We start from the raw sequence: 15,906 nt of genomic DNA, 5'->3' as shown, positions 1-15,906 counted from the left end.
ATGGTCTGGCCCCTGCCTACTTGTCCAAAACTCATCTTGCTCATATTTCACTTCTTCCTCTGCTCCAGCTACACTGACCGGAGCCACATGCCCTCCTTTTCAGTTCAATCCTCACATATTACAGATGAAGCAATAGACAAAGTGATATGAAATGGTCTGCTGAAGGTCAAAGCAGACTCTTGTCTTCCAGGTCAGGGCTTTTTCTCTCGTGCAGCCTGTGCTGCTTTAGTTTGTGTTATCGTATTTTGATGTGGCCAAAAGAGCCTCTACAAAAAGAAGGAAACAGTGTGTGACTGCTTACTCAACTCTAATGAAATCATTAATTTTACTTAATTGAGACCTTTTAAGAAATCCAGGATATAGTCAGAGTCTGGTGAAGCTAATAATAATAGTGTCTTTCTTTGGATGAAAAGTCTTTAGAAAATCTTCAGTCCATGAAATCATATTTGAAAAATGCTCATGTATTATCCTTGGCTAATGATAGGATGATAATGTGAAATAAAGATTAAAGGTCAGTTGTCAAATGTAGCTGTTAGCCAAAAAGTCTTCCTGACAGTGTTTCCTGAAACCTTTTGAGCCCTGACATGGTTGATGAACAGAGTGAGTGAGAGCTGTGAATCATCAGAGCCTCTCAGCCAACAATGGCTTTCTTGGGCAGCAGCCTGAATGTGTTGAAGTCCCGAGTTGTCTGCTGTTCCTTTGTTAAACTGCATCAGAGTGTACTTTGTCACTCTATTATTGATGGTAGGCCCAAATGACAGTGTTCAATTGTGAAAAGCTTTGGGGGCTATTATGGGAAAGTGCTTATTTCATAAATTAATTCCCTTCACTGCCACAGAGTCCAAAGTTAGTGCTTTCACTGAATCGGGAAGATAGGGATAACGTATAAGCCTGTCTTGAGGTGGGAAGTGATGGAGTGATCATTGTCAGGAGCGTAATGGCTGTCATATTGTGAAGAGCTGTGCTACATTTGCTGAGTCCACAGTTAGGCATTAAAGAGAAAAGCCTTTTCAGTCTCTTTATCCTCCAGGACTTTAAAAAGTTCTAGAGTTTTAGAAACAAGCATTAGAAATGGCCCATCCAAAGTATTTTTCAAGTTTACCCAAGATTACCATGGCAACTAAATTACTGCATGACTACAGGAAGTGCATTTAATGACATTTTTTCAGCTTATGTACAAATTGCTCTTATTAAAGAGGAAATGCTAGGGGTTGAGACCATCATGCTTTTTGTAATGGAAGAGAATGAACCTTCTCTGGAGGTGGTGTATACTCTTTTTTTTTTTTTTTTTTTGAGACAGAGTCTTGCTCTGTCGCCCAGTCTGGAGTGCAGTGGCGCGATCTCCGCTCACTGCAAGCTCCGCCTCCCGGGTTCACGCCATTCTCCTGCCTCAGCCTCCCGAGTAGCTGGGACTACAGGCGCCCGCCACCACGCCCGGCTAATTTTTGTATTTTTTAGTAGAGACGGGGTTTCACCTTGTTAGCCAGGATGGTCTCTATCTCCTGACCTCGTGATCCGCCCACCTCGGCCTCCCAAAGTGCTGGGATCGCAGGCGTGAGGCACCGCGCCCGGCTATACTCTTAACAATATGAAGGAAGTGTGTTAACAGCCTCTCCATGCATCTCACGTAAGTGCCTGGTGACACTGCAAGATTAAGATTGTTCCATGGGACACGATTGCTCCCTGCACAAGGAAGTCAGAAAGGCAGAGTTTTACTACAGGTCCAGTTTTGGCATGATCTGGTGATAGCTTCCTTTTTACATACGTTTTTGTTTCCACCTACATTGTGTGCATTAAATTTCATGTCCTACTGGGTGATTCTTTTCGTGATTTGAGAATGAAAGCAGGAACCACAGTCAAGCCTTATTATACATTTTTGGAGGATGATATTGATCCTCCAGGATTTCACATGAAGTTTTATAAAAGAAGCTTTTTCTTTGTCATTTATGTATGTATTACTTAATTTAATTTTATTATTTTTGAGACAGGATCTCACTCTGTCACCCAGGCTGGAGTGCAGTGGTGTGATCTTGGTTCACTGCAACCTCTGCCTCTAGGGCTCAGGCCATACTCCCACCTCAGCCCCCTGAGTAGCTGGGACTTTAGGCACATGCAATGTGCGCCACAATGCTCAGCTGATCTCTTTTGTATTTTCTTGTAGAGATGGAGTTTTGCCATGTTGCCCAGGTTGGTCTTGAATTACTGGGCTCAGGTGATCCACTGGCCTTGGCCTCCCAAAGTGTTGAGATTACAGGCATGAGCCACTGCACCCAGCCCGTGTGTGTGTTCTTAGAAAACAGCTGTTTCCTTATGATGTACAGATAACATTTATTATTACAACACACTAATCCCTGGTGAAGAAAATAGGAACAGCACTATTTGAAATTAAGGTTTTGCTTGAGGCCAAGAGTTTGAGACCAGCCTGGGCAGCATAGCTACAAGAAAATAGAAAAAATTAGCTGGGCATTGTGGTGCACACCTGTAGTCCTAGCTACTTGGGAGGCTGAGGTGGGAGGATCACTTGAGCCTAGGAGTTCAAGGTTGCAGTGAGCTATGATTATGCCACTGCACTCCAGCCTGGGCAATAGAGTGAGAGCCTGTCTCAAAAAAAAAAAAAAAAAATCGAGGTTTTGTTTTAGTTTCTAAATTAAAGTGTTTATAGCAGGTGCAGGTGTGTATCATTTCAACCTAGATCACCATCTCTACTAAAAATACAAAAACTAGCGGGGCATGGTGCCACATACCTGTAATCCCAGCTACTCAGGAGGCTGAGGCAGGAAAATCACTTGAACCTGGGAGGCAGAGGTTACAGTGAGCTGAGATCGCACCATTGCACTCCAGCCTGGGCGACATAGCGAGACAGTTCCCCCCAACCCCCACCAAAAAAAGTTATTTCTTTTATTAAATGAAAAGCTGCTACCATAAAACTTTAACCCATAGATCCTGGCTTCACTCTCTGGATCAACGAGAGTACGATATGCCAACAATCGCAAAAATAATAGTCTTCCAATTGACAATGTAAGTGCCACTGGGTTAGAAGTGAAAGACTTACACAGAATGGGGTCAGATTAATCCAGAAGGGATTTGGGCTTTGTTTGGGCTATATGCTGAAGTAGCTGAGGACCTTGCTATGGGCTCATGACATCCTCTCAATTTTTCCCCAAATGAGAACCATCTTTGGCTCATTTAGTTTGTAAGAGAAAAGAGCATTTTGCCTAGGGAACACTGGACAGGGTTTGGGACTGGGAGATACAGATTTTGATTTTCAGATTTTCCAACCTTGAAGTGAACGTTAAATTGATGGACACATCCTCAGAGAGACTTCACGGGGTGGAGGAGCATTGGAGGATCTCAGGGTAGTTATGGAAGTCCCCACTGCTATGAAACTCACCACTTCCTGTGGCAGCAACTTAGATTTTGAGCTCCTCATTGAACAATTCTTCCTATGGTGAGTTTAAAAAAAAAAAAAAACTGTCTCCCTGGTAGTAGTTCTTTCATCTGTGTAACAACCTTCAAATATTTGAGCAGAGCAACCCCATGTGATTTTTAAGATGACTCTTCTCACCGCTAATTCTTCTGAGTTCTATTACTTTTTATATGAAATCAAAAAAATTCATTGTTCTTTGTACTTAAAGATATCCACTGTACTTAAAAATGCTTAGACTATTTTTTGAAAACCTTACTACCTTTGCTAGACATTGTGTTTAGCACTCTACCTTTAGAGTACAGTAAATATCACTAGGAATTTTTTATTTAATTCTCACAACAATATCAGGAGATATGCATTATTAATATCTCCACTTGGCAGACATGAAAGCTCAGGCTTGGAGTGGTGAACCAACATGCTGAGTTGCTGGAGCTGATATTCCGATTTCCATCTTTCAAACTCTGAATTCCATGGTTTTAATCACCATAATACATTTGTTCTAAATTGTCTATGAGCTTATTAAAGGGCCTTATCTGGAGCCAAATACATGACTCTAAGTATGATTCCATCTGCATGGAGCAGAGTAGAACTCCCTTTGTTTTGGAGACTGTGTTTCTGTCAGTGTATCCAAGATCTCATTAGTTTTTTGGCAAGTACATCGCACTATTGACAATCAAACAATCCCTGGGTTCTTAAAATACGTGCTCTTATCAGGATATGTCTTCCCAACTATACTTGTATGGTTTATTTTTAGGACATAAGTGTAGGAGTTTGCAGTTATATTTATGAATCTTTATCTTACTATAGTTGGCATGTAATTTAGGATCTCAATTCTGGCACCCAGCCCAGTTAGTTTTCTTCTGGGCTTCCTATCATAGGTCAGTGATCCTTAGAAGTTTTGGTGTTAAATTTTTGATTGTGTTTTCATTTTAATGACAATTGAAGAAATATGATATAAACATTTGTAATTTTGACTAATTTGTATGGCTATTTTATTACCAAATACAGATGCACAATTTCAGAGCCTCCCTTTGTGCTAATACTTTGTTATAACCTGATTAGGGTAGAATAGATGAAAACAATGCACCAATGACGAATTTCACTCCAGAAAAAGGTCATATGCAATCATGGTGTACTGAGCAAATGCAGTTTTCCCAGTAGTAGGAATACAGTGTGTAAACTGAATCATCATACAGATGGTAGTACAGGTTGAGCATCCCAAATTTGAAAGTCTAAAATCTGAAATGCTCCAAAATCTGAGACGTTTGGAACACTGGCATAATGCTCAAGGATAATGGTCATTGGAGCTTTTAGATTTTGAATTTTTGGATTTGGGATGCTCAACTCGTATAATGCAAATATCCCCAAATCCAGAAAACTCTGAAATCCAGAACAGTTCTGGTCCCAAGCATTTTGGATAAGGGATACACAACCTGTATAAATATAGACCTTGTGCCATAGCTCAGTACCATATTCATATTAGCTATTTGGTTTCAGCAAAATGTCATGTATTACATTACACTAATTCAATTTGCATTTTATTGGGTTTGGTCATAATAAAAGTAACAAACTCTGTGGCTTACCTTAACTGAGGACTCAATACTTTGCATGTATTATTTAATCCTGAAGCAATCTGTGTGATAGGAATTATTATAATTTCTGTTTCACAGATGAGGAAACCAAGGCCTGGGAGTTTAAGTAACATTCAAAAAGGCACAATTAATAAATGGTGGTAGTAGAGTTTGAACTCGGACATTCTGATTTTAGTGCCCAATTTCTTACCTATTGTGTTTTATTTATTTTGTAAATTTATTTTGTTTTTATACTTTTACAATAGCCAGAAACATAAGCTACATAAAGCTAGTTTTGTATTTGTATATATTTAATTAATGTACGATAAAAACTATTTTAGTTTTGGCATTAACAATTTGTTTTCAAAAGAATTCATTACATATATTTGATAAACTCTGTCACGGACAAATTTAATCAAGATTCCTCTGTGACAAGCAGAGCTCATTGCATGAGACTTGGGTGGGGTTGGGAATTGAGGTCATGTGCTGGGGAGAAGGGGCACTGGCTGTGGCTGCAGGCTATGTTTATTAACTGAGCTATGACCTGCCTAAGGCCAGAACTGTGACCAAGAATATATATGTCATAATCCATATGACAAATGCTTAGCAATAATCTTTTCCAAAAATCTTCAGCATATCAGACAATATGTTAGTTCCATTCTCCTCCCTTGCCTCCCCAAGGCCTCTCTCCCACGTCCTGTGTCCTCCTGCTATATAGTAGAGAATGGAAGCTGAAAATCAGCCAGTCCGTCCAGGGTTGAAAGATATCTGCCTGTTTTCAGCCTCATTCCTCATTCTTGCTTTAAAGTGCTGTGTTTCTCAGGGGCTGTGCAACGCACAAAGTTCTTTTCTGGGCTGAATTCCCTTTTTACAGGCATGAAGGCTTGAACATTGTCCACTCACTTAAGACGTAATCTTCTACCTGATTTCCATATTTCCAAAATATGTTGAAATCTCTCATCTGCTATTGTCTTCTCTCCCATTCTCTTTCTGTCTGGTTGGATACCATTTTAATTCTTCTAAAAAATTTATGTCATCCACGTTTTGTATTTTGGTGCATTATCTTTAGTGTTAATATTTGATTCTTGACCCTCAAGGTCAAGACATGAAGCATTACCCTGTTTCTCATCAAAGAATCTCTGTGGGTGTGAACTCCTGATGGCGAACAGAGCCAGCTGTGGGCTCCTTGACAGAGAGGAGACAGAAATAAGAAGTGACTTGTGGAAATACTCCTGGTGAGCCATCAAGAATAGATACCAGCACTTTCAGCAGTTATTTCCCTATTTGCATTATTAGTATAAATATTAGAAATGTGGAATCCAAAAGATGCATATGTATGAAAGGATACGAATTTTTGAGGTCTCGTTAATGTACATAGATCAATGCCCAAGTATCAGATTGATTAGAATTTGGGAGGCCCTGTTGGTGCTTACCTAGGAGCTTGTGATATTAGGGAAACTCTCTGGGAACTTCTGGGGCTCCCCTCCTCTTTATAGCTTTCATTTGTGAGGTGTTTATATTGTAAGAAAGAAGAGTGAGATAAATTCACTGTTGTTTCCTCTGTGTACTAGCATTTTTCCACAGAAAAGTTAAAAGTTTCAAGTTACTTGAGTAAAGACATTCAGTGTGCAATCAGCCATTTAGAGTGAGCAGAAACGTTACAACTTGTCAGCCGGCCTACATTTAGTCCACGCTTTAAGCGGTGGGTAGCATAAGATGAACAGAAGAAGAGAAAAGCAAATGGATTGGTGTGTCATTTATGGATTTAAGAATAATGGGTAGGTATATTTCAGGATATTCAAAATGCAGAAAACTATATTTTGGGGGTTGATATTGGTGTAGAGATTAGCCAAGATTTCAGGTATTTTTTTCCTCCTTCCAGAATTTGGCCAAATAATGCCACAAGTTGCTTATGCTAACGGTTCTAACACATGCCTGGTATAAGCAGAGGCAGAAAATTATTGGCTAAGATGAGGCTTTAGAGCAGAGGTGTCCAGTCTTTTGGTTTCCCTGGGCCACATCGGAAGAATTTTCTTGGGCCACACATCATATACACTAACATTAACGATAGCTGAGGAGCTAAAAAAAAAATCGCAAAAATCTCATAATGTTTTAAGAAAGTTTATGAATTTGTGTTGGGCCGCATTCAAAGCCATCCTGGGCCGCATTCAAAGCCGTCCTGGGCCGCTTGTGGCCCGCAGGCTGTGGAATGGACAAGCTTGCTTTAGAATGATTTGTGGATTTCTTTCTGTCTGTTCTATCTGGGAAGACATTAGAGAGCTCAGAGTGAGGGCTGTGGAGTCAGATGACTGGTTCCAATTCTGATGTTGTGGGCTGGGGTCTCTGGATGGAGTTCATTCTGCAGGGTATTATAAGGGTCAACCTTTGTGGAAAGGAGAGGAAAGAAGCAGATTTGGACAGAGAGAGGAGCAGAAGATTCAGCAAAGCTTCAGGTCACTCCGTGGGGAGACCTGGATTGTGTAAAACCCATTTTAACTGTTCTCCAGAGAGCCCCAAAAGTCAGACCTTTATATCTCTGCTGTAATCAGCCATCTGTTTGGGCTGTCCTGGGAATGGTGTGCTCTTGGGCAAGTCTCTCTGCATCTGAGGGACACCCTGAATGAGCTGACAGCTGGAGGCTGTTGCTGCCAGCACTCCCCAAAGATGGCACAAGTCCTTCCTCCAAGTGGGGGCTGGGTGGTGCGTTTCCATGTAACCACATCTGGGTCCCTTTTTAGAAGCTATGTAACCTTGGGCACGGTGGGGTCTCAGTGTCCTCATCTATAAAATGGGAATAATGAGCCTATCTCATAAAGTTTTGTCAGGATTTTGTGAATTATTATAAAGCTCTTAGAACTATGCCAGGCACAGAGTAAGCATATGCTAAATGTTAGCTATTATTCTATTTAGGTAATTTCCCCTTCAGCCCACAGTAGCCAGGCTAATGGAGAAAGTTTGTAGCATTGTCAGACTTTGCAAGATACAGTTCACGCTCTGAGGAGAAGGTCATGACAGCCCTTTTTAAAAGAAATAATAATTGGGATACTTCACATTCTCCCCTTGTCACTTTCTGTTCTGTGATCTATACCGCCAGCAGAATGTGCTCATGACCTCTGAGCAATAGAATATTAACAACCTCTAATAAGCTGAAATCATAGAGAACTATTTAGAAGTGATTTGTAAATTACACGATTCTGTTCTTAATGCTTGTGCATTCCCCTCATAAAATCATATTTAACAATGGATAATTAAGGGACCTTGGTCTTTAACCCTCAGATAATTCATAAATGCACATTTCTACTGTTTTGTAAGAGTCTCAATGAAAGTTTAGGGCCTATTGGAGTTTTTCAGTTTCTATGGCTTTGAATTTTTCAAGTTTTCTTTGAAAACCACTGAATATATCAAAATAAAGCCCTCCAAACTCCATTCATGGCTGAATTTGAAAGGATTATGCTGTCATCTGAGAAGTGGCAAATTACCAATGCTGCTGCTGCTATTGAATAATCAACTAGGGAGGAAAGTTGCAGAAAATGGGTGGGGGATGAAGAGATGAGAAGAGGAGAACCTATTAGAAATAAAGATCGACTACTCCTTTCCACCCATTTGTTCACTGAAAAGATATTAATGTAGCACCCACTCTGCCCTATCAGGATACTGGGTGCTGAGATGAATAGAACATGAACTCTTCATTGGAGGAGCTTATGTTCTATTAAGGGTCATGGCGGTGGAGGGGTAGAGGTGGGGTGTAGTGGAGAGTGCACGCAAGTACGCTATTATAGACACTGTAATAAAGGCCTGCATTCAGAAGCTGGCCTTGGAAATGGCAAAGTGACGTAAGATACTGTGAATGAAGAACAAGAAGTACTTCACCACCAGTTTACTGAGGCAGCAAGATGGAGGGTGACTCAACAAGAATGAGAGTTTCACTCAAAACAGAAAATCAAATTCTGCACATTCTCACTTGTAAGGGAGCTAAACACTGGTACACATGGACGTAAAGGTGGAAATAATAGACACTGGAGACTCCAAAAGTGGGGAGAGTGGAAGGGGAGTGAAGGTTGAAAAATTACCTACTGGGTACAGTGTTCACTATTTTGGTGATGGGTTCATAGAAGCCCAGAACTCACCATTATGTAATATATCCATGTAGCAAACCTGCACATGTATCCCCTGAACCTAAAATAACAAATAAAAATGAAATTACAAAAAAAAAAAAAAAGAATGAGAGTTTGAAGCTCAGCTGGTGGGTAGAATGGGAATGTCCTTAGAAGACACAGGGGGAGATATGTTAGTTTTGAGTCCGTGGGAACATCCAGGTGGCAATACCTATCAGGCAGGTATGCAGGCGGCTTGTGAAGGGATTTGCAGATCAGAAAGTAAAATAAAACTAAGGTTGCCTTAATAAAGTTGAAAACCAAGTATATATTAAGTTAAACAGTTTGAGATCAAATGGGGACTGAAAATCCCAAAGTAAATTCTTCATAATTCTATTATTTATGACACTAAATTTTATTCAGTTGAAAGGGCTGAAATGAAACACATAATTATAAGCTTAAAGCTTCATTTGCTAATGTGTCTGTGTCTGATTTTCTTAATTTTTCTCTAAGAATAGCTGATCTCAAAAGTATGAGGCCTACTAGTCCTTTAAAAATTTTAAAATATCATCTACTTGTCAAAATTCTACTTATGGAGAGCTGCATAAAGTGAAGAGTGAAAGGCAGTTCTTCCCCAGCCCCAGCCCCAGCCCCAGCCCCATTCCACTCTTCAGAATTAATAACTGTGGGCAGTCTGGTGGATATCTTTCTGGTCTTTTGAATGCAAATATTAATATGTAGCTGTATATTTTACATAAATGGGATTGTATCATATGGCCTTGCACCCAACTTTTTTGCATAGAATAATATTTGCAGCCCTTTTTCCTTGTTGAAACACGTGTACCTTATCCCTTTTACTCACTAAACAATATATACTGTTGTATAATATACATAATTCATTTAAACATGCTTGTATTGATGCACATTTACTTTGCGGTTTTTCAGATTACAAATGTCAAAGTGTGTCTGCCATCTCCTTGCATATGCATACATACACATGTTCTAGTAATTGTCCTAGAAGTGGAATTACGAGGTCAGAGGGAATCCATATTTAAATTCTGGTGCATTTCACAAATTTCATCCAAAGAGGTTTTACCTATTTATACTCCTTTACAAGCTTCTTTTAAATCAGATTGTCATTTCTTTGTGTCTGTTATTTTCCAGTGCATCTTGTCTTGTGGCTGTTTGAGAGAAGCCTTGTCAAAGACCCTTTATGGAATCACTTCCCTGAAGAAACAAGTTCCTGCGGGGGCAGGAGCTCAGGCCATTGCTGGCGGTGCTCCTGCCACTGCGACATCTGCTACCCGCACAGCTTGTATTCATTATACTGATGTGACAGGTTATCTGGGCAGGGGGAGCAGAGCAGAGGAACAGGGCAGAGACCCGATGGCTCGCCTTGTGAATATTTAAAAGCCATTTAAATAGATTTCTTTTTATCCCCTAATTTCCTATTGATGACAGCCCTGAAACTACTTATCTCATTTTTCAAATCAAAGCTTCCTAAAGCAAAATGGCTTGGAGACTGAACAGCTCTTGAAGCTCTGTTAATGACAGGATGGGGGTGAGAAGACCAATAAATTGTTTAGGGAGTGGAAAAGTACTTCAGACTTCAAACCCCCTCTCCCTTCAGCCAACCTCTTCGCAGGCTGCGGCTCTGAGAGGGTGTCCTGGCACAGTCTGGAGCCTTGGTGCATGTCATCTCCCTCAGCTTTAGGAACCAGAGAGATGTGGGCTGGAATCTGGCCCCAGCTGTTGTTACCTGTATGACCTTGGGCAAGCAGCTTCACTTCTCTCTGTTTGCTGTCTGTAAAGCCTTTGGTGTCCCCTTTGAGTTAATCATATATGTCTGCCAGGGTCGTCTTTGGGATGAGTGATAATTCTTTGTTTGTCACTGGCAAATCATGTGCCAGTTTTATTCTTCATCTACTGTGGTAGCTGCTGAGTTTCCACAGAGTGGCATCGGGGCGCTCACTTTCACAAGTGGCATCTGGCTGATCACTTCCACAGAGTGGCGTCTGGGTGATTACTTCCACAGAGCAGTGTCTGGGGCGCTCACTTCCACAGAGCAGTGTCTTGGTGCTCACTTCCACAGGGCAGTGTCTGGTTATTCACTTCCACAGAGCGGTGTCTGGGGTGCTCACTTCCACAGAGTGGTGTCTGGGTGTTCACTTCCACAGAGCAGTGTCTGGGGTGCTCATTTCCACAGAGCAGTGTCTGGAGCGCTCACTTCCACAGGGCAGTGTCTGGTTGATCACTTCCACAGAGCAGTGTCTGGGGCACTCACTTCCACAGAGCGGTGTCTGGGTGATGACTTCCACAGAGCAGTATCTGGGCGCTTACTTCCACAGAGCAGTATCTGGGCGCTCACTTCCACAGGGCAGTGTCTGGTTGATCACTTCCACAGAGTGGTGTCTGGGGCGCTCACTTCCACAGAGCAGTGTCTGGGTGATCACTTCCACAGAGCAGTGTCTGGAGCGCTCACTTCCACAGGGCAGTGTCTGATTGATCACTTCCACAGAGCAGTGTCTGGGGCACTCACTTCCACAGAGTGGTGTCTGGGTGATCACTTCCACAGAGCAGTATCTGGGTGCTCACTTCCACAGGGCAGTGTCTGGTTGATCACTTCCACAGAGCAGTGACTGGGGCGCTCACTTCCACAGAGCAATGTCTGGGGTGCTCACTTCCACAGAGCAGTGTCTGGGTGATCACTTCCACAGAGCAGTGTCTGGGGCACTCACTTCCACAGAGCGGTGTCTGGGGCACTCAATTCCGCAGAGTGGTGTCTGAGTGATCACTTCCACAGAGCAATGTCTGGGGCGCTCACTTCCACAGAGCCGTGTCTGGGTGATCACTTCCACAGAGCAGTGTCTGGGGCACTCAATTCCGCAGAGTGGTGTCTGAGTGATCACTTCCACAGAGCAATGTCTGGGGCGCTCACTTCCACAGAGCCGTGTCTGGGTGATCACTTCCACAGAGCAGTGTCTGGGGCGCTCACTTCCACAGAGCAGTGTCTGGTTGATCACTTCCACAGAGCAGTGTCTGGGGCGCTCACTTCCACAGAGCAGTATCTGGAGCGCTCACTTCCACCGAGCAGTGTCTGGTTGATCACTTCCACAGAGCAGTGTCTGGGGCTCTCACTTCCACAGAGCAGTGTCTGGTGTGCTCATTTCCACAGAGCAGCGTCTGGGGTGATCATTTCCACAAAGCGGTGTCTGGGGTGCTGACTTCCACAGAGCGGTATGTGGGACTCTCACTTCCACAGAGCAGTGTCTGGTTGATCACTTCCACAGAGCAGTGTTTGGGGCGCTCACTTCCACAGGGCAGTGTCTGGGTGATCACTTCCACAGAGCAGTGTCTGGGTGATCACTTCCACAGAGCAGTGTCTGGGTGATCACTTCCACAGAGCGGTGTCTGGGGCGCTCACTTCCACAGAGCGGTGTCTGGGTGATCACTTCCACAGAGCAGTATCTGGGTGCTCACTTCCACAGGGCAGTGTCTGGTTGATCACTTCCACAGAGCAGTGTCTGGGGCGCTGACTTCCACAGAGCGGTGTCTGGGGTGCTCACTTCCACAGAGCAATGTCTGGGGCGCTCACTTCCACAGAGCAGTGTCTGGGTGATCACTTCCACAGAGCAGTGTCTGGGGCTCTCATTCCACAGAGCAGTGTCTGGTGTGCTCATTTCCACAGAGCAGCGTCTGGGGTGATCATTTCCACAAAGCGGTGTCTGGGGTGCTGACTTCCACAGAGTGGTATGTGGGACTCTCACTTCCACAGAGCAGTGTCTGGTTGATCACTTCCACAGAGCAGTGTTTGGGGCGCTCACTTCCACAGGGCAGTGTCTGGGTGATCACTTCCACAGAGCGGTTTCTGGGCTGCTCATTTCCACAAAGCGGTGGCTGGAATGATTGTATGGTGATGTTGTGTTGGCATGGTAGGTGTTGGAGCTTTGAGGCTGTGCCCCAGGGCTGTTTACACAAGACTGAAAAAACATCAATTACTCATTTCAAAGTCTGGGGGTGAGGTGGTGATGGACATTGAATGGGATGGACATTGAATGGGGGCTCTAAAGCCTCCAGAGGTCCCCTTGGTGCATCCATTACTCATCTACTTTAGTTCCATAAAACTTGGACAAGTTACTTAATCTCTCTTTCCTTCAATTGTTTTTTTCTAAATTGCTGAAATGAAGGTAATAGTAGTCTCTACTGCATACAGCCCCTATAAGGGTTCATGAGAGTGTCATGTCCCCCTTGCCTGCTCTATTTTTCCTTTTGTTCCCTTTCAGAATCTTGCTCATTTTACAGTTTCCTTGTTTCTCTTTGTAATTGATTTCCCTTTTCCGATGGAATTTTGTTTCTCTCACCGCTCTTTATCACCTAGCACCATGCCTGGCACATAGCAGGTTCTAAATATTTGTTGAATGAATGAATATGGGATGCATAGAACAGTGCCTGAAACATAGTAAGCACTCTATAAATGTCAGCTACCTTTAAAAAATTATTAACTGTTATCTATAAATTGAGGATAATAAAATATCCCTCATAAAATAGGAGATCATATAAATAGCATAGCTGGCATAGTACACAGAAGGCTCTCAGTAAATGGTAACTGAATTATGTATGAGTGTCAGTCACTTTCAGCTGAAGTATTTTGTGAAAAAAGCACTTGTAGTAGTTATGTTCTCTCTAATTCTGTGTTTGAGCTCATGGCTTCAAAAAAATGTGGCTTCCTCCTTGGGTGGGAATTGAGGAAGGAGGGGTACTGGGAGAGGTTTGAACAGGGAGTGAGTGGTAGGAAATTTTAGCTATTTTAAAGTGAATTTGGCTAACACATCCAAAAAGTATTTTGTCAATTCTAAATTATGTTATTAACACTGTGCTGGGCATGGAGGTAATGACAAAGAAGGAGGAAAATGGTTTCTTCTCACAGCCAGTCAGGAATCAGTAGCTTTTCAAAACTAAAGAGCCAGTTCTCATGAAGGCTTGAAAAGACCTAGCAATTCTCATCTAGGAATTTATGCTGTAGATATCATCAGTGATAAATACAAATAAAAACACACAGATATTCATCACAGTATTAAAAAAATTTTACACCAATCTAAATGTCCTGCAAAAATGAATTGTTTAATGTTGTGTTCAAATAATGGAATACTATTGTACAAGTAAAAGGTAATATGTAGAACCTTTGTTGTATGGAGAGATATTCACGACATATTTGTTTAAAAAAGGTTATAGATCTAAATTTGAGAGAGCATATTGATAAATGATTGATAAACATAGGTGTTAATTTAAGCATATAGAAATTTGGAATGACATACATCCAAACATGAACAGTGTGAGAGGGATGACTCTATTGTCTTCTTAGTGGTTATTTGCATTTTCTAATATTTCTAAAGTAAACACTGATTTATATGTAATACAATTAAAAAATTCTTTCTTTTACAATTTGTGTCTAGAAGATTACACAAGAAACTGGTAACATTTGTTTTCTAGAGAAGGGGAGCTGGGTGTTTGGGTAACAAGGGTGGTGTGAGAAGAAGTTTTCACTATCTATCTGTTGTATTTTTGAATTTTAAACATAATACATATTAAGACATACAAAATAAAAAATTATAAATGATGATCTGAGAAATGGCAGTGGGCACCCTGACTGGACTCTTGCAGGTAGAGGACAGAGGCTGGGACTGCAGCAAGTGACTTGGGGAGGACGTGCATACTCCTTGTAGGGAGGGGAGACCAGCAAACTGGACAGATCTGATGCCTTGAGTCAGACCACACAGCTGCCTGTGCCAGTCTCTTCCTTCTTGAAGAATCACACAAAATGTGGGTGTGGCTGAGAGCTGAGATATTTATCCAATAAGTTCATTTATTAAATTTACTAATAAATACTAACAAAAAAATTTATTAGTTTTTTTCTTAATACAAAAATGGCATATTAATTGTAGAAAATTTATGAAGTGCATACAGTGAAAAAATTAATTATAATCCAATCATCAAGATACTGACATTTACATTTTAATAGCAGTCCTCAATTATTTACAAATATGTATAAAGTGTGTGTGTGCGTGTGCACACACATGCATGAGAGTGTGTATGTTTGCAGGTTGCTCAATGCATACTGCTTTGCAACCTACCTTTTTTCCAGGGAAGATTTCTTTTTTGAGAGGGCTGGATAGAGAACAGTGACAAAAAATGTTCTAAAATTTCTTCCTTTAGTGTTGCTTCTGAAAGATGTCAAGATTAGGATTGAGAATTGTGGTCATTGAACAGACTCATCCTCTCTTTCATGCATGTATAACCCAGTGTTCCCTCCATCCTGACTGGCCGAAGTGTATGGTCTAAGGTTCCATGAACTTAGTGACACTTAGCCCCTAAGTGCCCATGTTGGCAGGTAGCCCAGACTTTGCAACTCTGGGGCCCACTAAAGATTGATTCCTTCTTTACCCTGTATCTTCACTCGCCTTCTCTCCAATGGCTGATTTCCATCAGCATTCAAACATGCTCAAGCCTCTCTATTCATCACTCATCACCTTGGTTCTTTCTTCAACATATTCTACTCAGTAAATGGCATCCACAGAGTTGCTCAGGTCAAAAAGCTAGGACTCAATCTTAATTCTTGTTTTCCTTTCTCCTACGTTCAATCCGTGAACAAATTCTGCAGGCTTTATCTCTAGAGAGTACCTCTGATGCCTCTACTTTTCTGCATCTTCACTGTTACCACTCTAGAGTAAGCCACGATTGATATTTGCCTAGATATGCGAGTAGTCTGCTTAACTAGTTTCTCTACAGCCTCTTCTCCACATAGCAGCCAGTGAAG

General features: G+C 41.8%; 1 long non-coding RNA gene across 4 annotated transcripts in view, besides 1 other annotated feature; it reads left to right on the top strand.

The window, feature by feature from the left end:
* The window catches only part of LOC102724687 (uncharacterized), a 233,269-nt gene that overhangs the window by 43,342 nt on the left and 174,021 nt on the right, over positions 1–15,906 (top strand). The gene's annotated exons all lie outside the window — the stretch shown is intronic.
* Positions 3,280–3,459: an enhancer, noted in NCBI's record as "active region_27477". NCBI's record gives its function as "activates an Ori minimal core promoter by ATAC-STARR-seq in GM12878 lymphoblastoid cells {active_cell/tissue: GM12878}" and the evidence as "EXISTENCE:reporter gene assay evidence [ECO:0000049][PMID:35858748]".

The sequence above is a fragment of the Homo sapiens genome, chromosome 8 (assembly GCF_000001405.40).
Source record: "Homo sapiens chromosome 8, GRCh38.p14 Primary Assembly".
NCBI classification, from domain to species: domain Eukaryota; kingdom Metazoa; phylum Chordata; class Mammalia; order Primates; family Hominidae; genus Homo; species Homo sapiens.
Note: the sequence above shows the minus strand (reverse complement) of the source record. Positions and strands in the feature narration are given on the sequence as shown.